The sequence below is a fragment of the Homo sapiens genome, chromosome X, assembly GCF_000001405.40.
Source record: "Homo sapiens chromosome X, GRCh38.p14 Primary Assembly".
NCBI lineage: Eukaryota > Metazoa > Chordata > Mammalia > Primates > Hominidae > Homo > Homo sapiens.
Window position 1 is genome coordinate 153720601 of NC_000023.11, and position 24248 is coordinate 153744848.

Here is a 24248-nt window from a genome sequence, read left to right on the forward strand (position 1 = left end):
TGATCCACCGACCTCAGCCTCCCAAAGTGCTGGGATTACAGGCATGAGCCACCATGTACGGCCTAGAGGGGCCTCAAAGTGAAGAACCGACTAGCGGTCAGCAGCATGGGCAAAGGGAGCCTCTTCCCTCCCTCAAGAGAAAGACACAGCATTTCATTGGTCTGTCTCCTAGCAGCCAAAACTGGATGCTACACATCAAAAGTGGCAAAGGGTTTTGCAGCAGAGACCAGGGTCTAGGTCAGGTAGCTGCCCTCAGCCATAGCTCACTCACCGATGACCAACAGCACAAGGATGACAATGAGAACCACAAAGAAGGTGTTGCCATAGGACACTAACAACTCCACCAGCCGGGACTTGAAAATCTTCTGCCATCTGTGAAGAAGACAAAAAGGACAGGAGTTGAAGAGAAAGCACACACACGAGCTCTAGGGCCCTGAGCAAAATGGAAATCCAGCTTTGTACTCTTCTCCAATGGCCGAATAGCCCATGCAAAGTCAGCCTCAGTGGCTTGCAATTCTCTAATTTGACATCCATTCAAGACTATTGGAAAAAAGGCCAGGTGCAATGGCTCACACCTGTAATCTCAGCACTTTGGGAGACCAAGGTGGGTGGATCACTTGAGGTCAGGAGTGCAAGACCAAACTGGCCAACATGGCGAAACCCTGTCTCTACTAAAAGTACGAAAATTAGCCAGGCGTGGTGGTGGGCACCTGTAATCCCAGCTACTCAGGAGGGTGAGGCAGGAGAATCACTTGAACCTGGGAGGCGGAAGTTGCAGTGAGCCGAGATCGCGCCACTGCACTCCAGCCTGGGTGACAGAGCGAGACCTTGTCTCAAAAAAAAAAAAAAAAAAAGATGCTGGTCCACGTATAGATCAAAATGTCTGGAAAACTAATCTTTTTTTTTTTTTTTTGAGACAGAGTCTTGCTCTGTTGCCCAGGCTGGAGTGCAGAGGTGTAAGCCACCGCGCCCAGCCTGGAAAACTAATCTTAAACGTGGGCAGTTGGCTGGGCGCACTGGCTCACGTCTGTAAACCCAGCACTTTGGGAGGCTGAGATGGGCAGATCACCTGAGGTCAGAAGTTCAAGACCGGCCTGGCCAACATGGTGAACTCCCATCTCTACTAAAAATATATATATAAAAAAAAATTAGCTGGGCATGTTGGCAGGCACCTGTAGTCCCAGCTACTCGTGAGGCTGAGGCAGGAGAATTGCTTGAACCCGGGAGGTGGAGGCTGCTGTCAGCCGAGCACCACACCACTGCACTCCAGCCTGGGTGACAGAGCAAGACTCTGTCTCAAAATAAAAACAAAAACAAACAAAAAAACCACAACAACAAAAAGAAAACATACTGGTAGTCTCTGAAAAGGGAAACTTACTTTTCATTGTACTCCCCTTTGTAATATTCAAATGTTTGCCCCATACACGTTATTTCTTTAAACTGTCTTTCCACATGATAAACCTTGGTTTGTCTATATCCCCCGACCCTGTTATGATGAGATGGACCCCAGACCTCACATCATTTCCATCCACAAATGCTTTGGGATGCAGCTCTAAGAAGAGACTTCAGAAGTGTTTACATATTGTTCAAATCAACAAGAAGCCCTCATCATCAGGGCTAGAGTTGAATATGCCAATCACTGAAGGCAATGATATTTGTTTGAATCCGGACCCAACAAGGTACCGATTTGGCATTCGGTAGATAAACGTCTTAAATCCAGCTTATTCTGGAAGCTCCCCCTTCCCTCTCCCTCTTTCATTTGCTTTTCCAGTTTCCTTTGTGTAGAAATCAGATTGTCTGTCCTCTAAAGCTTCCCAGATTAAAGCTCCCCGGGGCCCTCTATCTCTGCACGTCTTGTCAACTGTACGAAGGTGTGGTTTTCTACAAGAATCCTCCTCAGACAGCACTGCATACTTTCTATGGTATCACATCAAAGATAATTTTTCACGAAAAAACGGCTTTTAAAAATACCTGTGGAGATTTGGCCTTATTTGTAATATCGTAATTTAAATAGGGATGTGTTCAGGTATTATACATAATTAAAATTAATCTCCAATTCACTTTTAACAGGTCCTCTGTTCATTAAAAGGGAATATGGCTTCATCCTCCACAGGCTGAGTAATGTTCATGCAGCCACTGCGCAATACCAGTGAGACTAGTTAGGAGGACAAGAGTCACCAAATCAGCAACAACGTGACCCAGTGGTGCAAGTCTTCCGAATCCCACGCTACCATCCCAGCACCCCGTGGACCAAGAGTGGGTGGGAGGGCATCATTTCCAGAACTGTAACATAGATCTTCCTGCCTCTCGGGGGCATTCTGAAGACCAGAAGGCAGGGGACACAGGAAAAGGAACTGAGCAAGTCATGACGAAGCAGAACCCTGGGAAGGGTTGGCAATAACAAACACAACCCCTGCCACCCCCACCCCAGACAGGTTCTACCTGTTCCATCGGGTCCCAATTCCAGGGTCCACCAGCTGCACACACCAGTCCCAGGGCTAGGGCACAGGCACCCTCCTGCCTAACTCGCCTGCTTGCTCCATAGGCCATACCTTTTAGGAGAAATGAAGGGAATGCAGAGAAGCAACACAACAAAGACCTCCGCATAGAGGAAGGTGGCAACTGCAGTCCACTGCAGACTCATCCTGTTGCTAGAAGGTTTCCCACAGGAAGATGTGAGCTTGTTTCCTGGCAGGGCACAAAAGGTACGGGACTTGTAAGCGCTGGGCAGCCAAGAACATCCAGTTCAGTTACCCTGCGAGGCTGGGGCCGCCACTCTCCACCCTGACCCCCTGCACTTTGCTTCAAAGTCTCTGATGCGCTGGCGGAAGCAGGGCTCCACTCGGCAGGGCCTCTTGGCCAGCAGCGTTCACAGGCCCCACAAACTTCCGTTCGCTGGTCAATTACCTGCCCCCTCCAGCACGTGTGTCAACACGTCCAGAGCGGCCTCTCCCGACGATCCCTGCCCCAGGAAGCCCGAGATTTCCGACGCCCGTTTAACTGAAAGGCGTTCTTCGGGAAGAGCAGTGCCAGGGCACCAAGAGGAGGACGCCTCGGCACCCATCGGGCGCTCCCTTCCCCGCCAGGCAGAACTCAGCCGCAGAGGCGGGCGCTCTGCGGGCCCAAATCCCCGCTACCAGGCAGGCCCAAGGCCGCACCTAGTCCAAGCGCTGCCGACGCCCCCGCCTCCCACCGTCCCCACGGCGCCCGCGGAGAGAAACCGGCACCTCCCTCGAGGATCCAGCGGCCTTCCGCCCGGGGCCGCTTCGCCTCCGGTGGGCTGGAGGCCCGCAAGAGCGACTCCTAGAGGGCAGGATTCGGGACCAAGCGCAAAGGCAGGTCTCGACCAAGCACCTCAAGGCCCCATACGGAGAAAGTTCTAGACGCAGTATCCTCAGAAGCCAGGGGTCCTTACAGTAGCCCTCGCGGGCCCCAGCGCCCACCCAGAGCGAGGGGCCTCCGACTTGGCCCCGGCCTGGCACACCGTCCCGGAGGCCCATCCCGGCCGCTCCTCCAGGTGGGGCTTCACCGCCCCCCGCCCCGCCCCCGAGACCAGCTTCTAGAGGCGCCGCCCGGTTTCCCCTCGCCCCTGCCTCTCACACGCAGGTAGGCTGCGGGCCCCGAGATTCCCCGGCCCCCGGGCCTCCCCGCGCCGCTCGCCTCTCTCCCTCGTCGATGGGCCGGGGAGCCTCCGCGGTCCCGGAGCCCAGCCCGGCGCGCGGAGCCCGCTCACCGAGTTTCCCACAGTCAACGTGCAGGCCCCGCCGCAGCAACAGAACTCTCCCACAGCAGCCCCGGCCCCGCCCCTCATACCGCGGCCGGAAACCGGAAGCGCCCGCCGGGCACCGCCCACCAGCCCTCGCGAGGCCCCGGAGGCTCCGCCCACCTCCGCTTCCCACCCCGCCCCGGAGCGGAGGGCCGGCGCTCCGAGCGGGAGAGGAAGAGGCGCCTCGGGCTCCGGGCGAGCAGGGCGGGGTGGAGCGAGCACGCGGGCGGGGCGGGGCGGGGCTTTGTCGGGCCGGCGAGGGCCGCTTCTCTAGTCCGCGCGGCCGTCCCACGTCTCTGTGGTGCGGGAGGGGCCCCGCCGAGGGGCGAGAACGGGAGGTGGGGGTGTGGGCGGGCCCCGCCGAGGGGCGAGAACAGGGTGGGGCTCCCGCGCCCGGACTCCGCCCCTCGCCCCTCCTCCGCCTCCTCCCCTTCCCCCGACTCGCCCCTGGGGAAGAGTGGGTGGGGATTCTGGGCCGGTGGAGGAGTCACTGTCGCTTCAGCCAGGCTGCGGAGCGGACGGACGCGCCTGGTGCCCCGGGGAGGGGCGCCACCGGGGGAGGAGGAGGAGGAGAAGGTGGAGAGGAAGAGACGCCCCCTCTGCCCGAGACCTCTCAAGGCCCTGACCTCAGGGGCCAGGGCACTGACAGGACAGGAGAGCCAAGTTCCTCCACTTGGGCTGCCCGAAGAGGCCGCGACCCTGGAGGGCCCTGAGCCCACCGCACCAGGGGCCCCAGCACCACCCCGGGGGCCTAAAGCGACAGTCTCAGGGGCCATCGCAAGGTTTCCAGTTGCCTAGACAACAGGCCCAGGGTCAGAGCAACAATCCTTCCAGCCACCTGCCTCAACTGCTGCCCCAGGCACCAGCCCCAGTCCCTACGCGGCAGCCAGCCCAGGTGACATGCCGGTGCTCTCCAGGCCCCGGCCCTGGCGGGGGAACACGCTGAAGCGCACGGCCGTGCTCCTGGCCCTCGCGGCCTATGGAGCCCACAAAGTCTACCCCTTGGTGCGCCAGTGCCTGGCCCCGGCCAGGGGTCTTCAGGCGCCCGCCGGGGAGCCCACGCAGGAGGCCTCCGGGGTCGCGGCGGCCAAAGCTGGCATGAACCGGGTATTCCTGCAGCGGCTCCTGTGGCTCCTGCGGCTGCTGTTCCCCCGGGTCCTGTGCCGGGAGACGGGGCTGCTGGCCCTGCACTCGGCCGCCTTGGTGAGCCGCACCTTCCTGTCGGTGTATGTGGCCCGCCTGGACGGAAGGCTGGCCCGCTGCATCGTCCGCAAGGACCCGCGGGCTTTTGGCTGGCAGCTGCTGCAGTGGCTCCTCATCGCCCTCCCTGCTACCTTCGTCAACAGTGCCATCCGTTACCTGGAGGGCCAACTGGCCCTGTCGTTCCGCAGCCGTCTGGTGGCCCACGCCTACCGCCTCTACTTCTCCCAGCAGACCTACTACCGGGTCAGCAACATGGACGGGCGGCTTCGCAACCCTGACCAGTCTCTGACGGAGGACGTGGTGGCCTTTGCGGCCTCTGTGGCCCACCTCTACTCCAACCTGACCAAGCCACTCCTGGACGTGGCTGTGACTTCCTACACCCTGCTTCGGGCGGCCCGCTCCCGTGGAGCCGGCACAGCCTGGCCCTCGGCCATCGCCGGCCTCGTGGTGTTCCTCACGGCCAACGTGCTGCGGGCCTTCTCGCCCAAGTTCGGGGAGCTGGTGGCAGAGGAGGCGCGGCGGAAGGGGGAGCTGCGCTACATGCACTCGCGTGTGGTGGCCAACTCGGAGGAGATCGCCTTCTATGGGGGCCATGAGGTGGGGCAGGTTGGGGTGCCGGGCACGGAGGGAAGCGTGTGGCAGGGAGGCCCGGGGGCAGGCAGCCGTGAGCGGTGGGGACAGTCTGGGGCGGGCCGGGGCTGATGCCAAAGGTGTGGGCAGGCCATGGGAGAGCCGGGCTGGGGTGGGCAGGGCCTTTGGGCAGCCGTGGACTCAGGCGCGGCAGTGGAGAGGCAGGAAGGCTGGGTGGGGACTGTCCTGTGCTGGTTGCCTGCACGCTCGAGGCCACTTCTGCTTCCTCTCCTCCTCAAGGAGGTTGTCCTGGCCTTAGAGCTGCGATCCTAGCGGTTTGAGCCTCGAGAGCTCCTGCCCGCCCCACTCCTGCAGCCAGCCAGGAGGAGACGCCTGCCATTCATGAGCGGGGACCGAGGGACGCAGCCTGCTGCCTAGCCCCTCCTGGGCCCTTGGGCCCTTTGAAGGCCGGCGTCCAGCAGAGCTGGCTGGCCAGGCAGGCCGGCATTATGGGCATGACTCAGCCCAAGCGGAGGTTAATGAGCAGCGCCCAGCACAGCAGTGGGACTTGGGGTCAAGGCCACCCCCGCCTGAGCCCACAGGCCTGCCTGGCTACCAACTGGCTCAGCTGCCTTCCCGGGCCCCCAGACCAGAGATGCCGGGCCCAGGCCGCCACTGCGGCGGGACACACTTCCTGCTCCTGGCGTGGCTGTCCTTCCAACCCTGTCTGTCTCCTGGCTCCCTGGTGGGCCGGGGCCGGCGGGCCAGACAGGCGCTGGGAAAGGTTACTCCAGGTCAATGCTCCCTTTATCTCGCCTCAGCCCCTCCCCTTCCTCGTGCCTGGGGTTGCAGCTGCCTTGGGCCCTGCTCTCTGCGACTCAGTTTCGGTTCCCCAGTGCTTCTTGGGAGGAGGGGCACAATGGCATCCATCCCCCGAAGGCCTGTGTGTGCTCCCTGGGTCAGGTGGCCTCTTGCCCTGGGACCTTGTCTCACTGGCTGTGCACCAGCAGAGAAGCAGGCTTGTCCCCGAATTCCACGGAGAGGGGCATCCCGGGTGTGGGCCAGACTGCAGATTCAGAGAAAAGGCCCCTGGACTTCAGCCACCACCCTGGCTTCCCTCTCCTCTTCTCCCGCATGCTGGGCTGCAGGGCCTTGGCAAGCAGCTGCAGCCTTGGGCGAGGCGCTTGGCACATTCCCCGCAGCTACATTGTCAGCCTTGGCTGGCACCCCTGCCAGCTCCCAGCACGAGTCTGGATTGCCAGGGTGCTTGCTTCAGGAATGGGAGATCGGGCTTGCAGGGAGCTCAGCTGTGCAGGCCGACCTGGGTGGCGGGGGCAGAAGAGAGATCACTGGTTCTTTGAAGGCCTTCGTCCGGGCTAGCTTCAGGAAGTAGAGAGATTACTGGTTCTTTGAAGGGCTAGCTTCAGGAAGTAGCACGTTGGCCAAGAGGGTTTGTTGGCCAGGGCAGGAGGGCCCGGTGTGCATTCACGGCCTGTCTGCATAGGCCTCGGCTGGAAAGCTGTGTGGGGTGAGAGGACCCTCGGGTAGCATGTGGCCCATGGCAGTCCCACTGGCTGATGTCCCCGTGGACACTGGCCTAGGCTCAGATCAGGGCAGAAGCAGCTGACTGGCTGGAGGGCACATAGCAGAGTATTCTGTCCTTTCTGGGATTGCCGCGAGGAGGCTTATTGAAACGCACATGCACACGATCTCTTGTTTGAGAACAAAGTAAAGCTCTCTTGATAAGTCTAAGCATCATTTACAAGAATGTGGTTCTTCTGGCAGCTCTGCCAGTGTGGTCCAAATTCCCACACTGGTTGCCACCATCAGGCTGTATGGGCTTGGGCAGGTCACTTTGCCTCCCTGGGCTTCAGTGTTCTGTGTACAGTGGGCACGTGAATACACATGCAGTGGGATGTGGGGAGAATCAAATGCAGAGACGTGAAAGCACTTGGCAAACAGTGGCAGGCTAGGCAGCTGTCATCAGACGGCTGTGGGGAGGCAAGGCTGGGGTGCGTGCCCCTGGACTGAGCCCAGAAATTCACAACCCCTTGGCTACCTTGCTGGGAGCACTTCCCAACACCTCCCATCTCCCCCGCCTGTCTGACTGCTGCTGCCACCTCTTCCCTGCGGCTGTCCCTTTCCCCACCTGCTGGTGTCCTGACATAGTGGTGGCCAGTGCAGGAAGGGGGACAGAAGGACAGGGGAGGCCTACCCACTGCTGAGGGAGCAAGGTCCAGGCTCAGCAGTGGGGACATCCACTGGGGCGAGTCCTGTAGGGCCCAGCTCAGGAGCGCATCCTCCTGGTTTCAGTGGGAAAATGCCATGCAAATTTCTCACCAAAAGGAAGTGTGGGAAAGTTGAGGGGAAAGAGGGCGTAAATAGGCCCAGACTGTTGAACCGAGTTTTTCAGAACCAAGAGACAGGGTTTCACTGTGCTGCCCAGGCTGGGGTGCAGTGGCGCCATCACTGCAGCTTCAAACTCCAGGGCTCCCGCGATCCTCCCACCTCAGCCTCCCGAGTAGCTGGGACTACAGGTGTGTGCCACCACACCTGGCTAATTTTTTTTTTTAATTATTTTTGGTAGAGACAGCATCTCGCCGTGTTGGCCAGGCTGGTCTCCAACTCCTGGGCTCAGGCAATCCTCCCACCTCAGCCTCTCAAAGTGCTGGGATTGCAGGTGTGAGCTACTGCACTCAGCCCAAGAGCACTGCCTTTTGCTGTCCTGCGCTGCTCTTTGCTTAGTTTAGGGGGGGAAATTAGAGCTGATGGATGATCTCTCCGAGCCAGGAGGAGGGGGCTGGCAGGGAGCCCAAAGAAATGGGCTCAGCAGAGGACAGAAACAAGGTGACTAGAGAGGGAGTGGAGAGGGGACGGGAGCCGCACTGTGACATCAGCCAGTCCCTTATACCCCCTTACACCTTGAGTTTGAGACCTGGCCCCACCCAATCGTAACCTCTGGCTCTCGGCCTTCTGATGGCCACCATGGCACAGCGTGTGTGAGTGGCACTGGGAGACCCTGACCATCGCCCCCACGGGAGCTGCCCCTGTGCATGGCCAGGAAGCCTCTCTGTGTCTGTCACCCCCCGCAGGTGGAGCTGGCCCTGCTACAGCGCTCCTACCAGGACCTGGCCTCGCAGATCAACCTCATCCTTCTGGAACGCCTGTGGTATGTTATGCTGGAGCAGTTCCTCATGAAGTATGTGTGGAGCGCCTCGGGCCTGCTCATGGTGGCTGTCCCCATCATCACTGCCACTGGCTACTCAGAGTCAGGTGAGACCCAGGGCTCCAAGAGGATCCAGGCCAGGGGCCTGTCCCCCATACCGCTGGGTGCTGAGCTCACGAGGGCCCAACTCAGCCAGCCCGCCGCCCACTTCTGCTGCCGGGGCCACCGAGGCCCTGCTGCCAGCCTTGATGCTTTCAGAGGTTGAGCTCGCCTTGCCCCTCCTTGTTGCCTTTTGCCCTGCGCGCACCTCACGCCCTTTGTTACCACTCAGACAAGCCCAGGACTGCAAGTCAGGAACACTACATGTCACTTCTCCAGGCACAGATACCCTCACCCACCTGTCCCTGTCCTCAACCCAACTGCGACTTAGAGGTGGGAGAATGTGCGGAGTACCTGGAGTGAGCCCCTTCATCACTCCAGCCTTGGTTTCCTCGCCCTGAAACAGCTCTTGCACCCTAAGGTGTTTTAGAGGAGTGGGAAGCCTGTTCTACCTGTTATTTTAGTGATAAGATTAAATGTTTAGGTTTCTGCATTCCTGTTGTTTTTGTTTGTTTGTTTTATTTTCTTTTTGGCTTTTGAAACAGGAGTCTGACTGTCGCCCAGGCTGGAGTGCAGTGGCGCGACCTTGGCTCACTGCAGCCTCAACTTCCCAGGCTCAAGTGGTCCTCCCACTTCAGTCTCCCCAGTCGCTGGGACTACAGGCACAAGCCGCCGTACCTGGCTAATTTTAATATTTTTGGTAGAGACAGGGTTTCGCCATGTTGCCCAGACTGGTCTCGAACTCCTGGTCAGGTGATCCTCCCGCCTCAGCCTCCCAAAGTGCTGGGATTACAGGTGTGAGCTGCCGCGCCCGGCCTGCATTCCTGTTTTGTTCCTCTGCCGGATTGCAACTTCTGCATTTGATTTTTAGTCCATTAGTGGTCACCCTTTAAAAGGTCAACACGCAGCCGGGCGCGGGGGCTCCCGCCTGGCATCCCAGCACTTTGGGAGGGTGAGGCGGGCAGATCACGAGGTCAGGAGGTCGAGACCATCCTGGCTAACAGGGTGAAACCCCATCTCTACTAAAAATACAAAAATTTAGCCGGGCGCGGTGGCGGGCGCCTATAGTCCCAGCTACTCGGGACGCTGAGGCAGAAGAATGGCGTGAACCCGGGAGGCGGAGCTGGCAGTGAGCCCAGATAGCGCCACTGCACTCCAGCCTGGGCGAAAGAACGAGACTTCGTCTCAAATAAAAATAAAAATAAAAAATAAAAGATCAACACGCATACTTGTTAGGTTAATCAATAGCTCCGCCTTCTCCTGGACCTTAGAACGCAGAAGCAGCCCCGTGGGGCATGGCATCATAGCCCAGCCAAGAGTTGGATTTGTACCTAGTTTTTCCTCTTTGCTATCGCCTTATCCACACGTGTTGAAACTCACTCGCATGTTTGCTGAGTTCTGTGCTCACCATTTCGTTCCTACATCTCAATTTCTCTTCTATGTTCTGTTATCTTCCTCCAGATAGACATGTTTTTAGTTTTTTGTTTGTTTGTTTTTTAACTCACAACTATGCTCAGGACAAACAGTCATCAGTGCTTCTAGTTGTGGTTGGTTTTTAAAAAAGGTTCTTTCAGCAAGGGTTTTGTCATGGGAAATTCTTGATTATTTTATTGTAATTCTTTGTGTTGTTTAGTTTTTTGTTTGTTTGTTTGTTTTTTGTAGAGGCAGGTTCTCGCTGTGTTGCCCAGGCTAGTGTGGAACTCCTGGGCTCAAGCGGTCCTCCCGCATTAGCCTCTCAAAGTGCTGGGATTACAGACGTGAGCCACCACACCCAGGCTGTTGTCATTCTTGATTATTTTTGTTGAAAATGTTTCTATTTCACCCTTATTCCCAAGCTAAAGTTGAGTTGCGCAATGGAGTCTAGGTGGACTGTTCTTTTCTCTCAGCCCTTTCACAATGTCTCATTGTCTCCCTGCTTCTTCTGTAGCTGCTGACAAATCTGTAGCTGCTAACAAATTGTCCTCCCTGAGTACCCTGTGTTTCTTTTTTTCTGGGTACTTTGATCACTTTCTTTCTTTTTGGCATTCTGCAGTTTCACTATGACATGTTTAGGTGTCAGTTTTTGTTGATTCTGCTTGAGACTTGTTATATGTCCTTTGAATATTTGAGTTTTTCAATCATTCTGGAAGATTCTCAGCTATTAGCTTTTCAGATATTGCCTGACTCTCATTCTTTTTTCCTGTTCTTCTAGAACTGGCAGCCAGTGCTGGACTTCTGACTCTCTTCGTTGTGTCTTTCGGTTTCTGTTTACTGTTTCCCATCTCACACTGTCTGTGCTGAATTCTGGGGATGCCCTGAGGCCTTCCTGTTTGCTCATTTTCCAGTTCACCAGTTTTCTCTTTGGCCATGTCTAATTGGAATTTTGTTCACATTTCAGTGGCTGTTTTGTAAGTTCTATTTCATTCTATTTCAAATAGGAATTTGAAAATGGACATTTCCTTTTTCAAGTAGAAATGTCAGGCTGTTTCTGTGTCTTATTTGCTCATCTTTTTGACTGCTCCTTTTATACTGTGTATCAGGTTAGTCATACTTACCCCACCGTCTCTATCTGATGGTTTGGTTAGCTTCAGTTCTTGGGAGTATCATTCGCCTGTCTTCTGTCTGCTGGTCTTCACTCATGGTGGATCATTTCCTTGTGGGTTTTGCAACAGAACTTCTATGGGGATTGGTGTGGCCTCAATGGAGGGTGTAAGTCCAAATGTCCTTCTGTTTTGGCCAAGCACTCCAGGGTAAGCAGTTGGAGGCCATTAGTTAGTGCGGAGGGGATGGTTCCTGAATTGAGAGGTGGTTTCATTTGAATTCATTTGAACTCCAGGCACATTGTTACAAATTTTCAGAGGAGGCTTTTTGTTCATTGGGCATAGAGCCCAGGCTAAGCAAGGAAAGCTTCCTGGTCTTTGCCCTGCCTGCCTCTGGGGCTATCAAAGGATCACCTGGCTGTCTGCTTCTCTTTGCTCCCAGAAGTTTCCCTTGCTTTCCGTCAAGCTTGGCTCTGCTCGAAATAGTGTCGTAGTTTACCCAGTTTGGTGGGAAGAGGGTTTTCGATTTATAAACAGAAGTCTGATTCTCTCCCTGTTCCTGTTTCCACCTCGGGGCTTCCATGCCCTCAACTGTCTGTGTCATCCTCTGGGTGACTCACCAAGAGGAAGGATCTAATTCGGGGACTGCACATCAAGGGCAGCCTTGATGCTGGCGTAGGTGCCCAGCCCAGTCAGCGCACCTAGCCCCGGGCACCGAGACAGCCCGCGAGACAGCACCTGCAGCCGCTTCGCTCCATGGCTGCCATTGGTCACATCGGGCTGCTCCCTGCCCTGAAGGCTTAGGACTTTTCTGAGCCTCTGCTGTGCCAGGCTTTGTGGGCTCCTGGCCCTGCTCTGGTGGTCCTCAGAGCCAGCAGCCTTTGAAGGCTGTGAAGCATTCCCTTTCCCCTGGCTTGATAGGCTCTGTCCTGTGGCCGTCTGTTTTTTTTTGGAGGGGGAGCTTTTGAGATGGAGTCTCACTCTGTCTCCCAGGCTGGAGTGCAGTGGCACGATCTTGGCTCACTGCAACCTCCATCTCCCGGGTTCAAGTGATTCTCCTGCCTCAGCCTCCCAAGTAGCTGGGACTACAGGTACACGCCACCATGCCTGGCTAATTTTTGTGTTTTTAGTAGAGATGGGGTTTCGCCATGTTGGTCAGGCTGGTCTTGAACTCCTGACCTCAAGTGATCCACCTGCCTCGGCCTCCCAAAGTGCTGGGATTATAGGTGTGAGCCACTGTGCCTGGTCCTGTGGCCTTCTTATTTCCCCAAATGCCAGGCCTGCTCTGTCTTGGGGCCTGTGCCAGGAGCACTCTTTCCTCTGCTGCCCCATGGCGCAGCCCCCCTAGGCAAGGCCCGGCCTGCCCACCGCCACCTTTCCTGTCTCCTTCCCTGCCCCACTGCTCTCCCAAGCACTCGACACCCCGTCAGTGGCGCTTTTCTCTCTCCCTGCCATGGACTGCAAGCTCCATGGGGTCAGGGATTTTTGTCTGTTTTGTCCCTGCTGTGTCCCCTGCATCGGGTGGCTAGTGAGGGCTCCAGGTGCTTCAAGGAGGTGGAGCGCACTGGGTGGGAAGGCAGGCTCTTACCGGTTGGAAGATTTAGATAAGCTTTGCTGGGCTGGTGTGCAAGGCAGGTGGGCTCAGGAGATGGGCAGGGCCTGTGGCTCCCACTCCAGCCCTGAGGCCTTGCTCTGTCCAGCTCTGGGGCCCTGGCCTTATTCACCCAAGGCTCCAAGAGAACCTGCAGAAGGCAGCTGGTTCTACGCCAGGATGCCCTGGGCACAAAGACTTGCAGACCCTTCCCTTTGTCCACAGCGACTGTCCAGCTCTCAGAACACCTGGGGAGGAGGGCTGTGTCCTTGAGAGCACCGTGGGAAGGAAGGTCCAAGGCCTTCGACCTTTAGGATTCACATCCCCGCCCCGCCAGCCCAATCTAGTTCCCTGGTTTCCCGGGCCAGGCCCCTTTCCACCCTGCATGGCCCTGAGCGGATACTGCGTTCCGTGTCTTCCCCCAGCCCCCAGCCAATGATCCCTGAGGCTTCCCCCTCAGGATCACACCCACCCCTGGATACAGTCCTCGGGTCCTTCACAGGACATTCCCACCACTTCAGCCACACCCCAGCACCCTCAGAGGCGGCCTTCGCCCTTGCTCCCCACCTCTGCTCCTGTGGGGAATCTAAGGATCAAGAAACTGAGAGTCAAGGCCATTGATGAGGGTCAGGGGTGCTGCCACGGGGCCTAGAGTGTGACAGAAAAGCAAATTAAGACAGGAGCAGCTCCTGGGAGAAGCAGACACCAAACAATACGGCTGCTGGCCCAGAGGTCAAAAACCATGGCCTAGAGGGGGCGGTCAGGAAGTGGGACATTAGGCCGGGCGTGGTGGCCCATGCCTGCAATCCCAGCATCTTTGGAGGCCAAGGCAAGTGGATCACCTGAGTTCAGGAGTTTGAGACCAGCCTGGCCAACATGGTGAGACTTCGTCTCTACTAAAAATACAAAAAAAATTCGCTGGGCTTGGTGGCGGGTGCCTGTAATCCCAGCTACTCGGGAGGCTGAGGCACAAGAATCCCTTGAACCTGGGGAGGCAGAGGTTGCAGTGAGCCAAGATCACACCACTGCACTCCAGCCTGGGCAACAGAGCAAGACTCCATCTCAAAAAAAAGAAAAGAAAAAAAAAAGAAAGTTGGCGTTTCAAAGCCAAACAGCTCTGGGCGTTGGATGACAAAGTTCAGATGTGCCCCAGGAGGGGCGACATCAGTGGTGCAGGACAGAGGGCCGGTGGAAGGAGCTGGCTGTACGTAGAAACAAAACCAGATGCCTACTGGTGCATTTAAAAATCAACGTTATTGAGACGTAATTAACATACTATACAATTCTTCCTTTTCCATGTACAGTTTAAATTCATTCACAGAGTTGTGCAGCCATCATCACTAACTCCAGAATGTTTTATTTTTATTTTATCCCCCAAAGAAACCCCAGACCCATGAACAGTCACTCCTCATTCCCTCTCTCCAGCCCCTGGCACCCACTCATCTGCTTCCTGTCTCTGTGGATTTGCCTATCTGGACATGTCCTAGAAATGGAATCATGTGCTCTGTGGCATTTTGTGACTAGCTTCCTTCACTGAGCATCATGGTTTCAAGATTCGTCCATGTCATAAGATGAATCAGTCCTTCATTCCTTTTCATGGCTGAATAATATTCCATTGTGTGCATAGACCACAATTTCTTTATCCATTCATCCCTTGATGGACATTTTGGGTTTCTTCATGTTTTGGCTATTGTGAATAACACTGCTGTGAACATCCATGGACAAGTCTCTATGTGTGCAGATATTTTCGTTTCTCCTGGGTGTGTAGCTAGGAGTAGAATTGCCAGGTCACATGGTAACTGGACGTTTCACTTTTTGAGGAGCTGCGAGACTGTTCTCCACAGTGGCTGCCCCATTTTACCTTCCCGCCAGCAGTGTTGGAGGGTTCCACCTTTTCATCGTGGCTAGCACTGGTTATCATCTCCTTTGTATTCTAGCCACCTAGTGGGTGTGAGGCAGTATCTCTTGGTGGTTTTGATTTGCATTTCCCTGATGACTAATGACGCTGAGCCTCTTTTGATGTGTTGAGTGGCCATTTGTATGTCTTCTTTGGAGAAATGTCTGTTCACGTCCTTCGCCCATGTGTGATCGGGTTATCTCTGTCGCTGAGTTGTAAAAGCTCTTTGTATATTCTGGATACTGCACCCTCATCAGATGTGTGGTTCACCAGTCCAGAGTTTTCTCCCAGTCTGTAGGTTGTCTTTTTCACTGTCTCGATATTGTCCTTTGGTGCACAAAAGTGTTGAGTTGAATGAGGTTCAGTTGATCTGTTTTTCTCTTGTTGCTCATGCTTTTGGTGTCCTAGTGAAGGAACTATTGCCATATCCAAGGTCGTGAAGTTTTATCCCATTTTCTTCTGAGAGTTTCATACTTTGGGCCACACTACACATCAGCCTGTGATGTGCTCTGGGTTGGTTTGTCTGTATGGTGTGAGGGGTCCCTCTCCTGCACATAGAGAGAAAGAGAGAGAGAGCTGGTTGCCCCGGCACCATTTGCAGAAGAGCCTCGCCTTTCTCTCCAGCGGCTCATTTTTGACTTTCCGCTGTCTCTGCCCTGCCCCTCCCCGCCCCGCCACCCACCCCTCTGGGGCTTTGCAGATGCAGAGGCCGTGAAGAAGGCAGCCTTGGAAAAGAAGGAGGAGGAGCTGGTGAGCGAGCGCACAGAAGCCTTCACTATTGCCCGCAACCTCCTGACAGCGGCTGCAGATGCCATTGAGCGGATCATGTCGTCGTACAAGGAGGTACCCCTGGCCCAGCCCCACCCTTGCCATCCTTGCCATGCTTCTCTCCCTGCAACTGGCAGGGGCTGAGCCAGGGTCACCCTCCCTCAGGTGACGGAGCTGGCTGGCTACACAGCCCGGGTGCACGAGATGTTCCAGGTATTTGAAGATGTTCAGCGCTGTCACTTCAAGAGGCCCAGGGAGCTAGAGGACGCTCAGGCGGGGTCTGGGACCATAGGCCGGTCTGGTGTCCGTGTGGAGGGCCCCCTGAAGATCCGAGGTAAGGCTGTCCCCTCCCTATGAGTGACCCCGCCCCTGCTGCTGCTGCAGGTGCTGACCTGCTGCCCCAGCTCCTCCTATTCCCGCTCCCTCACTCAGGGACCTCCATGTGCTTCTGGCCCATCCCAGTCCACCCAGGACGGGAGGGCTGCCGGGCAGGGTCTTTGAGGACTTCGGCCTGGTCGAGCTGGGCCCCTGGAGGGTTTCCTGCAGAGAGGTGCTGGTCCGCCCGCCTTCCTTCCCAGACAGTAGCTGCCGGCCACCGTACTGACTCGCCCTTTGAGGGCCTCAGCCTGGATTATTCATTCAAAACAAGGGGGATGTGGTCCCCTCACCCATGCAGGACAGCAAGAGAAAGTTCCAGTCAGTGTGCCAGCTGCTGGCTGCCACGGGAGGCAGGTGCTGCAGAAGGGAGTGGCGGCCCAGGGCACTGTATTAGACACTGGGGGAAGAGTTCAGCTTGTTGGAAGACCTGGCTGTGTTCCCTAGGGACCCTGGACCACAGGCTGCTGGTCAGGAACCAGCTGGCATGCTGCCAGGGATGGGAATGAGGGCGTGCAGCCAGGGGCACGCAGACTCCCCAGAATGCAGAGGGGTCGCCACCACTCCCTCTCCACCCCAGCCCCGCTGTGCTGTCTCTGCAGGCCAGGTGGTGGATGTGGAACAGGGGATCATCTGCGAGAACATCCCCATCGTCACGCCCTCAGGAGAGGTGGTGGTGGCCAGCCTCAACATCAGGGTAGGTCCAGCGGGGAGGGCGCCAGCCACGCACATATGCAAGCCTCAGCCCTTGGCTTCCCGCCTGTCTGTGCTGGCAACAGCCATTGTCCCTAGATGTACGTGGCAGGTGGGCCAAGGTCAAGGTGAGAGACCAACGTGTCTCTGACTGTTCATCCTGGGGCAACAGAGGCAGGGCTCATAAAAGAGACTAGTGATACCAGGATTGACCAAGGTTCACCCCGGCGTTCCTGGCCCTATCATCTGATGCCAACTCCCCACACTCCTAAGAAAGCCAAGACCCGGGTGGGGGGGCTCTGGTTCAAACCTTGCCGCTCGACCTCCCTCGGAAGGCCACAGCAAGGAATCCACAGATCACCTGTGTCCCCAGCCAGGGGTTTGGACAGGGCTGGGGAGTAATGGAGTGAGGGGGAGACTGGGGTGGAGGGACAGGTAGAGAAGTGACAAGGAATCACTCATTCATTCACTCATTTAACCAATGTGCCCTGAACTCTGAGCCGGGCACCAGAAACCCGAGGTAAATCAGGAGACCTGCACTCAGGGAGTCTTCACTGTGGAGGGGCACTAAAGTGTTACAAAGGGTCTCCAGGTAGACAGCTGTTCAAGGGACAGTGGGGGTCACAAGAAGAGTGGTCAGAGTCCCTGGGGGTGGTGGGGGTGGGATGAAGCCTTGCCCAGGAGTTGCTGTGAGCGAGTGGGCAGGCAGCTGAGGGTAGAGGAGTGAGGGGCCGTGGGCCTGAGGGGCAGGTCACGCAGGAGGAAGCAGAGAGGAGGGGCATGCCAGGGAGGAGGGGGCCGGCACAGGTGGTTACCCCTCACCGCTCGCAGCGGCCCCTCCTAGGATGTCGGGGGAGCTGATCACCAGTGAGTCCAAGGAAGGTGGTTTCCAGGCTGGCCCCGGGCAGCACAAGCAGGCAGGGGCAGCGGGCAAGCTCATGGGGCCCCTGCGCGCAGGGCCACATATGCTCAGGGAGCCGGGTATGCGAGATGGGGCAAGGCCCAGGCCCCACCCTTCAGGAGGGGACAGTCAGGTGGCTTCATTAGCATCCTGTGGCTGCGGTCACAAAGCGTTACAAACTTTGAGTGGCTTTCCCAGCAGAGATGGCCTCTCTCCCGGCTCGGGGAATAGCAGTCCGAGAGGAAGGCGCAGGCAGGGCGGGCTTCTGCCAAGGACCGAGAAGGTGCCTCCGCTCGGGGCCTCTGTCCCAGCTTCTGCTCTGCTGCCCATCTGCGGGCTTCCCTGGCTTCTGCCACGGCAGGTCGGCCTCAGCCTCTGTCTCCACACGGCGCTCTCCCTCTGGGTGTGTCCGTGTCTCCGTCTCCCCTTTCTGTCAGGACACAGGTCACACTGCATTAGGGCCCACCCCTCTGCAGAATGACCTCATGCAGACCTAACTCATCACGTCCGCAATGACCCTGTTTCCAAATAAGCTCACACTCCGAGGTAGTGGGGATTAGGGTTCCCACATAGGAATTTCAGAGGACAGAGTTCCACCCATGACACTGCCTGAGGTAAGCTAAAGACCACGGCCTCAAGTCTTCCCAGGAGCCCCGTGTAGCATTGTTGTTGTTACCGTGAACTTCACTGACTCCAGGCCCCTGGCCTCCTCCCTGCACACAGCCCGCCTCCAGCCTGGCCGGCATTTTCCCAAAGTAGGCATTTCCTAGCTCCAGCGAGGACCATGGAGTCAGTGAATTGAGGAGCCTGAGGTCCATGATGCAGAGCCCAGGGGCCACTGTGGCATCTCTGGGCCACTCTGGCACCTGGGGAGGCAGTGGGGTCTGTACTGTCAGTCTAGAGACATAAAGAAAGTGCTTTTTGGGCCGGGCGTGGTCGCTCATGCCTGTCATCCCAGCACTTTGGGAGGCCGAGGTGGGCAGATCGCTTAAGCCCAGGAGTTCAAGACCAGCCTGGGCAACATGGCAAACCCCGTCTCTACAGAAATTTTTAAAAATACACAAATAAGCCAAGTGTGGTGGCGGTGCCTGTAGTTCTAGCCACTTGAAAAAAAAGGCTAAAGTGAGAGGGTCTCTTGAGCCCAGGAGGTTGAGCCTGCAGTGAGCCATGATCCCACCACTGCACTCCAGCCTGGGCAACAGAGCAAGGCCCCGTCTCAAAAAGAAAAGAAAGAAACTGCCTTTTGTCCCCAGTGACTCAGGAGGCCAAGGTGAGAGAGTCGCTTGAGGCCAAGAGTTTGAGACCAGCCTGAGTAACATAGCAAGACCCTGTCTCTAAAACAACATTTAAAAATTAGCCAGGCATGGTGGCGTGCATCTGTAGGCCCAGCTACTCAGGAGGCTGAGGTGGGAGGATCACTTGAGCCCAGGAGTTGGAGACTGCGGTGAGCTGTGATCATACCGCTGCACTCCAGCCTGGGCAACAGAGTGAGGTCTCGTCTCTTGAAAACAAAGTGCCTTTCAGGGCAGTTCCTTAAAGGGGGCTGACAGTTGACCCTGCACTTGGATTCCTGGTGAAGTGGGAGTCGGATGGGACTGAGGACGGCGCTGGCTGTGTTGGAACACACCTACTCATTCAGCTGTGGCAGAATAGGCCCTTCCTCTTGTGCTGGCACCATGTTCTCCAGGCGTGTCAGGGCCTGAGGACTGGGCCGGGGCTTGTCCATTCCTGTGTCCTGGGCCAGGCATTTAGCGAGAGCCAAATTTAGCTAGGGCTGTGGACGCTGGACCCCATCCCCCAGGCCCTGCTGTCCCTTATCAAGAGATCAAGAATGGCCTGCGTGCTGGCCTCGGGCATTGGGAGCCTCTCAAGGCTGGTCAGGAGGCCATAGGGTACGGGAAGGGGCCTGCGCTCTCTGGCGTCAGCGGCTGTTGCCCCTGCAGGTGGAGGAAGGCATGCATCTGCTCATCACAGGCCCCAATGGCTGCGGCAAGAGCTCCCTGTTCCGGATCCTGGGTGGGCTCTGGCCCACGTACGGTGGTGTGCTCTACAAGCCCCCACCCCAGCGCATGTTCTACATCCCGCAGAGGTAAGGAAGCCCGTGCGCCTCTCCTCCACCTCTTCCTGCCTGTGCGCTCACACATGGCTTCCTGCAGAGGCCCAGGAAGTGGTGAAGAGTCAGCACCTCAGGAGAGGACACTGAGGCACTGTCCCCAGAGCCAGAGACGGGCTGTGGTTCCTGCTCCCTCCAAACCCGCCCGATCCACTGCCCTGTTTTGGATCTGTGTGGGGTGTGTGCACGGGCGGCGATGTGAGCGTGTGGATGCGTGTGAGCGTGGCATGTGGACACTGCCTGGGAGGCGCAGAGTATCTTGGGGGAGGCAGAGCCGGCCCTTCCCTCCGTGGACACCCAGCTTTCCCACAGGCCCTACATGTCTGTGGGCTCCCTGCGTGACCAGGTGATCTACCCGGACTCAGTGGAGGACATGCAAAGGAAGGGCTACTCGGAGCAGGACCTGGAAGCCATCCTGGACGTCGTGCACCTGCACCACATCCTGCAGCGGGAGGGAGGTAGGAGGCCTGGGGCTGGCAGCCACCCTTTGTCCCACCCTGGCCTCTCCCTTGGCCTCCAGGGAGTGAAGATTACCTCAACATCCAGAGTCTAAAGTGCCAGGTGCCACGGGGCGGGGCAGAGGCTGCTACCAGGGAGGACCAACACCACACAGATGGCCCCAGGTGCTCTAGGGAAGGGGGCACCTAGCAGGGATGTGCACCTCACTGGGGGACCCAGGATACCCTCTCCCAGAGAAAAGAGGTCTGAGCTGAGCCCTGCAGAATGCTGAGTGGTTACCCCGTCCGGAAGCCAGGGGCAGCAGGGCGGAGTGCGTTCCGAAGGCTTGGTGGTGCGAGAGGCTGGCTCACAGAGGGCCCTCGGGACCAGGCGGGAGCCTAGGCTTTCCCTGAGCAGGATCAGACGCTCTTGGAAGGACCATGGGGTGGTGGGCAGGGGCAGCCTGGGAGGGGCAGGCACATGTGTGCAGTGATGGCTACTGTCAAGAGGTTTGTGCAGACGCTTGGAGGGGGCTGGGGCCAGCAGAGTCAGGTGGATTCAGAGATGAGTTCACTGAAAAGGAGGCCAGACTGAGCTGTTGTCTTGTCCTGGGCTTATCAAGGAATACTGCTTGTCCACAGTGTCTGTCGGGCCGGAAGAGCGGAGGAGGAGAGGGGGCTGCAGCTACAGGGACACAGTAGATGGAGTGTTCAGTTCTGTCTTTGAATTCTGAGCCTCTGGGTTCTGCTTCCAGCCTGCACTGCTGGGTGCGAGATGGCCCTGGGCAAGGACCTCGCCTTGCTGGGGCTCCCCTTCACGGTTCAAGGGCACGGGCACCAAGCCCTCCCTCGGTGGCAACATGAGAAGAAGTGGCTCCTGCAGGAAATGGCCGGGGTGTTGTCACCTGCCTGTGGAGGAAGCGGGGACACAGGTGGCAATGGCAGTGGAGCAGCCCCTGGCCCGGCCCTGCCTCTTGCTCCTGCTGCCCTCAGCCTGGGAGCACGTGGCCCCTCCCGCCTCTGTGGCAGCCTGAATGCCCAGGGCCTGTGGCCGGCCAGCATGAGCCATTAGGATGGAGTTGAGCTGCGAGGAACAGAACGGGCCTCCCCGCAATAGTGGCTAAGATCATCTGTGAGTTTATCCTACTGAGCTGTTAGGTCCCAAGAGAGCCAGGCCACGGTTGCCAGGGCTGGCCCTGCTCTGTGAAGGCCCCAGGGCTCGAGGATTTTCTACCAGGTCACTCTGCTGTGTTTGGCCTCCGTTCCCAAAGTCACCTCATGATCCAGGAGGGCTGCTGCAGCCCTCACATCATGTCCCAGGCTGTAGGATGGAGGAAGTAGAAGGGAAGGGGCAAAAGGTATGTGCCTTCTTTTAAGGAAGGTTCCAGAAGCCGCCATATTGAATACTTACAGTTATATCTCATTGGCCACAACTTAGTCTCATGCTCACACCTCATCACAAGGCCACCTGGGAAGCGTAATCTCTACTCTGGGTGGCCATATGCCCTGTTGCCACTTCTAGCCCTGGGCCGCTGGGGAAGGCAGCATGGGCGAGAAGACAGGAAGGGCCGCTTCTGCCGCAGCGCCCCGACCTAATGGAGCAGCCGGCTCACCTGCTCGTTCAAGCAGCCCACTCGAGCCTTGCCAAAGTGCTGACACGGGGCAGTGACAGGAGGCCCAACCCCTGTGGGTGACAAGCCCCCGGTCTGGGGAGAGCACTCAGGCCGCTCTGGAGCTCTGTGCCAAGGAACTGTATGGGTGCCCTGGGGCTGCCATAAACCGCAGGGATGGATTGTCTCCTAGATCCAGCAGTCCGAGATCCAGGTGCCAGCAGGGTGGGCTCCTTCCGGGTGCCATGACAGAAGGATGTGTTCCAGGCCTCTGTCCTCGGCTCGCAGATGGTCCACTTCTCCCTGTATATCTTCACCTCATGTTCCCCTGTGCATGTCTTCTGCCCACACACCCCCTTTTTATGAGGACACAGTCATATTGAATTAGGGTCCACTCTGATGACCTCATCTTAGTGTGATCACCTCTGCGAAGGCCCTGTCTCCAAATAAGGTCACACTGAAGTGTTGGGGCTTGGACTCCACCGTATCTCTTCTGGGGGAAGGCACGATTCCAGTCCCCACTCCTCCATGATTAATGCCTGTCAGACAGACAAGGACGCAGAGGCACAGGGGCCCTGTCGTCACAGCTAGCTCATTCCCGCAGCTCCCCCAGCTCCCCGGCTGGCCCCCGGGTCTGGGTGCTGGTGGAACTGAGCCAAGACCATTGCCCCCGCCTAGGTTGGGAGGCTATGTGTGACTGGAAGGACGTCCTGTCGGGTGGCGAGAAGCAGAGAATCGGCATGGCCCGCATGTTCTACCACAGGTGAGCACTCCGGGCCGGCAGGCTCCCTGGGGTCCCCTGGAAGGGGAAGTAGCAGCTGTGGGGAGGCCTGGGCTCAGTGGAGCCTGAGCCGGGCTGGGGTGTTGGGCCCTGGAGGGTGCACAGACTCTCCTCTCGGCCCGGACCCCCAGGCCCAAGTACGCCCTCCTGGATGAATGCACCAGCGCCGTGAGCATCGACGTGGAAGGCAAGATCTTCCAGGCGGCCAAGGACGCGGGCATTGCCCTGCTCTCCATCACCCACCGGCCCTCCCTGTGGTAGGTGCCCTGTCTCCCTGCCTGGGGTCGGTGGGAGTGGCTGCCTGAGGGGAGGAGGTGGCCTGGCGGGCCCGGCAGCAGCAGGCGGCTGTCATCAGCAGCCCCCGTGCCGTGCCCCTGACCCTGTCCCTCTCCTGGCCAGGAAATACCACACACACTTGCTACAGTTCGATGGGGAGGGCGGCTGGAAGTTCGAGAAGCTGGACTCAGCTGCCCGCCTGAGCCTGACGGAGGAGAAGCAGCGGCTGGAGCAGCAGCTGGCGGGCATTCCCAAGATGCAGCGGCGCCTCCAGGAGCTCTGCCAGATCCTGGGCGAGGCCGTGGCCCCAGCGCATGTGCCGGCACCTAGCCCGCAAGGCCCTGGTGGCCTCCAGGGTGCCTCCACCTGACACAACCGTCCCCGGCCCCTGCCCCGCCCCCAAGCTCGGATCACATGAAGGAGACAGCAGCACCCACCCATGCACGCACCCCGCCCCTGCATGCCTGGCCCCTCCTCCTAGAAAACCCTTCCCGCCCTCGGGAAAGTAGATGTGGAGGGTGGCGCCCTGCGTAACCCTCGCCCTGTCCCTCCCACTCCCTGGGGGCGCTGTTCCACAGTGACTGGGCCCTGTCCAGGGCAGTGAGTCCTCTACTTTGCTCCGTGGAGGAAGCTGGGGTACAAGGGGCCCAGTGCTGGCCACACAGCAGCGCAGCCGAGCCCCAGGAGCCCGTCAGGCCACAGCCCCTGGCACTGCAGGTGGCCTCCCTCCAGAGACTCGAGTCCCCATGATTCCCTCCTCGTCAGTCTCTCAAAGACCCCATGGTCCATCCCCTGAGGGTGGTCAGCCAAGGCTCCCGTTCCGTGGGATGCCATAAAAGCCGCCCAGTGGGACCCACAGTCACACAGAGCGCCTCACCTGCATCCTCTCCCCCACAAGAGCCCCAAAGATCCCACGGGAGAGGGGAGAGGGACGCACAGCACTGCCTGCCAAGCGAGAATGCAGGCCCCGCCCCCTCGGCCCCTCACCACCTCTTTCTACAGCCTAATTTATTGGATTCCCTATTCGTAGCCATCTCCGTGGCCAATGTGACTACCGTGCCAGCAGCGGGGGCGGCCCAGCCTCTGAGTCCCGTGGGGCCCCGGCTCCCACCGGTGCCAAACCCAGCCCCTGCGGCCGTCACCCCGCCAGCCTACACTGCCAGCCGCCACCGGGGCACACGGGCCTCTGCTTGCCAGCCAGGAGTGCGGACACCATGTTCCCAGCTCAGTGCCAAAGAGGGGTCACCAGGGGGAGCTGTCTGCGGAGCCAGCGCCTGCCCGAGAGAGACCCCACCGCCACCGTGTGCCTTTCCCGGGCCCTCAGCCCTCGGGCCGGGCACCACCCCCAGTCCCCCCAGTAAAAGCCTCCACTGGCAAATGCAGTCCTTCCTCCCTGCCTCAGAGCCTGGTGGTGTCTGCTGTGGGTCTCGAGGAGAGATGGAGGAGAGGGAGTGGGTTGCCTGTGGGGGAAAGAGTGAGTTTG

At 58.1% G+C, this 24248-nt stretch overlaps 2 protein-coding genes and 1 long non-coding RNA gene across 11 annotated transcripts in view, besides 10 other annotated features; 1 reads left to right on the forward strand and 2 right to left on the reverse strand.

Moving 5' to 3' along the window:
• Window positions 1-3787, reverse strand: part of BCAP31 (B cell receptor associated protein 31) — a 23896-nt gene extending 20109 nt beyond the window's left edge. The window contains exons 1-3 of one of the 4 annotated variants that reach the window (NM_001256447.2): window positions 3734-3787; window positions 2553-2688; window positions 272-372 (exon numbers count right to left, since the gene is read on the reverse strand). In NM_001256447.2, coding sequence (NP_001243376.1) covers window positions 272-372; window positions 2553-2644 — 193 coding nt within the window. In that variant the 5' untranslated portion in view covers window positions 2645-2688; window positions 3734-3787. Of the gene's footprint in view, window positions 1-271; window positions 373-2552; window positions 2689-2907; window positions 3528-3600 lie in introns of those variants that run through there. The other 3 variants (NM_005745.8, NM_001139441.1, NM_001139457.2) reach the window with 3 other exon arrangements.
• Window positions 3066-3245: a silencer, noted in NCBI's record as "silent region_21069". NCBI's record gives its function as "represses an Ori minimal core promoter by ATAC-STARR-seq in GM12878 lymphoblastoid cells {active_cell/tissue: GM12878}" and the evidence as "EXISTENCE:reporter gene assay evidence [ECO:0000049][PMID:35858748]".
• Window positions 3456-4415: a silencer, noted in NCBI's record as "silent region_21070". NCBI's record gives its function as "represses an Ori minimal core promoter by ATAC-STARR-seq in GM12878 lymphoblastoid cells {active_cell/tissue: GM12878}" and the evidence as "EXISTENCE:reporter gene assay evidence [ECO:0000049][PMID:35858748]".
• ABCD1 (ATP binding cassette subfamily D member 1) lies at window positions 4256-24155 on the forward strand. Of its 3 annotated transcripts, NM_001440747.1 has the most exons (11): window positions 4256-5566; window positions 8632-8812; window positions 15512-15654; window positions 15745-15913; window positions 16012-16311; window positions 16557-16651; window positions 19492-19637; window positions 19974-20119; window positions 22387-22471; window positions 22621-22746; window positions 22889-24155. In NM_001440747.1, exons 1-11 carry the CDS (start codon window positions 4667-4669, stop codon window positions 23133-23135), a joined length of 2538 nt encoding a protein of 845 aa, NP_001427676.1. In that variant the 5' UTR covers window positions 4256-4666; the 3' UTR covers window positions 23136-24155. The 3 variants fall into 3 exon arrangements, with proteins under 3 accessions (NP_001427676.1, NP_000024.2, XP_047297873.1); NM_000033.4 differs by lacking the exon at window positions 16012-16311; XM_047441917.1 differs by lacking the exons at window positions 22387-22471; window positions 22621-22746; window positions 22889-24155 and having other exon boundaries at window positions 16256-16311; window positions 19974-20110.
• Window positions 4876-5697: an enhancer, noted in NCBI's record as "H3K27ac-H3K4me1 hESC enhancer chrX:152990931-152991752 (GRCh37/hg19 assembly coordinates)". NCBI's record gives its function as "activates a minimal SCP1, AML or CMV promoter by ChIP-STARR-seq in naive H9 embryonic stem cells {active_cell/tissue: H9 hESC(naive)}" and the evidence as "EXISTENCE:reporter gene assay evidence [ECO:0000049][PMID:30033119]".
• Window positions 5974-6263: an enhancer, noted in NCBI's record as "active region_30037". NCBI's record gives its function as "activates an Ori minimal core promoter by ATAC-STARR-seq in GM12878 lymphoblastoid cells {active_cell/tissue: GM12878}" and the evidence as "EXISTENCE:reporter gene assay evidence [ECO:0000049][PMID:35858748]".
• Window positions 6534-6693: an enhancer, noted in NCBI's record as "active region_30038". NCBI's record gives its function as "activates an Ori minimal core promoter by ATAC-STARR-seq in GM12878 lymphoblastoid cells {active_cell/tissue: GM12878}" and the evidence as "EXISTENCE:reporter gene assay evidence [ECO:0000049][PMID:35858748]".
• Window positions 6714-6883: an enhancer, noted in NCBI's record as "active region_30039". NCBI's record gives its function as "activates an Ori minimal core promoter by ATAC-STARR-seq in GM12878 lymphoblastoid cells {active_cell/tissue: GM12878}" and the evidence as "EXISTENCE:reporter gene assay evidence [ECO:0000049][PMID:35858748]".
• Window positions 12712-13404: an enhancer, noted in NCBI's record as "H3K4me1 hESC enhancer chrX:152998767-152999458 (GRCh37/hg19 assembly coordinates)". NCBI's record gives its function as "activates a minimal SCP1, AML or CMV promoter by ChIP-STARR-seq in naive H9 embryonic stem cells {active_cell/tissue: H9 hESC(naive)}" and the evidence as "EXISTENCE:reporter gene assay evidence [ECO:0000049][PMID:30033119]".
• Window positions 14252-24248, reverse strand: part of PLXNB3-AS1 (PLXNB3 antisense RNA 1) — a 31620-nt gene continuing 21623 nt past the window's right edge. For all 4 annotated transcript variants that reach the window (NR_199693.1, NR_199694.1, NR_199695.1 and 1 more), the window contains one exon: window positions 14252-17978. This is a non-coding gene — a long non-coding RNA (PLXNB3 antisense RNA 1). The remainder of the gene's footprint in view (window positions 17979-24248) is intronic.
• Window positions 19881-20381: an enhancer, noted in NCBI's record as "H3K4me1 hESC enhancer chrX:153005935-153006435 (GRCh37/hg19 assembly coordinates)". NCBI's record gives its function as "activates a minimal SCP1, AML or CMV promoter by ChIP-STARR-seq in primed H9 embryonic stem cells {active_cell/tissue: H9 hESC(primed)}" and the evidence as "EXISTENCE:reporter gene assay evidence [ECO:0000049][PMID:30033119]".
• Window positions 22131-22832: an enhancer, noted in NCBI's record as "H3K27ac-H3K4me1 hESC enhancer chrX:153008185-153008886 (GRCh37/hg19 assembly coordinates)". NCBI's record gives its function as "activates a minimal SCP1, AML or CMV promoter by ChIP-STARR-seq in primed H9 embryonic stem cells {active_cell/tissue: H9 hESC(primed)}" and the evidence as "EXISTENCE:reporter gene assay evidence [ECO:0000049][PMID:30033119]".
• Window positions 22833-23532: an enhancer, noted in NCBI's record as "H3K27ac-H3K4me1 hESC enhancer chrX:153008887-153009586 (GRCh37/hg19 assembly coordinates)". NCBI's record gives its function as "activates a minimal SCP1, AML or CMV promoter by ChIP-STARR-seq in primed H9 embryonic stem cells {active_cell/tissue: H9 hESC(primed)}" and the evidence as "EXISTENCE:reporter gene assay evidence [ECO:0000049][PMID:30033119]".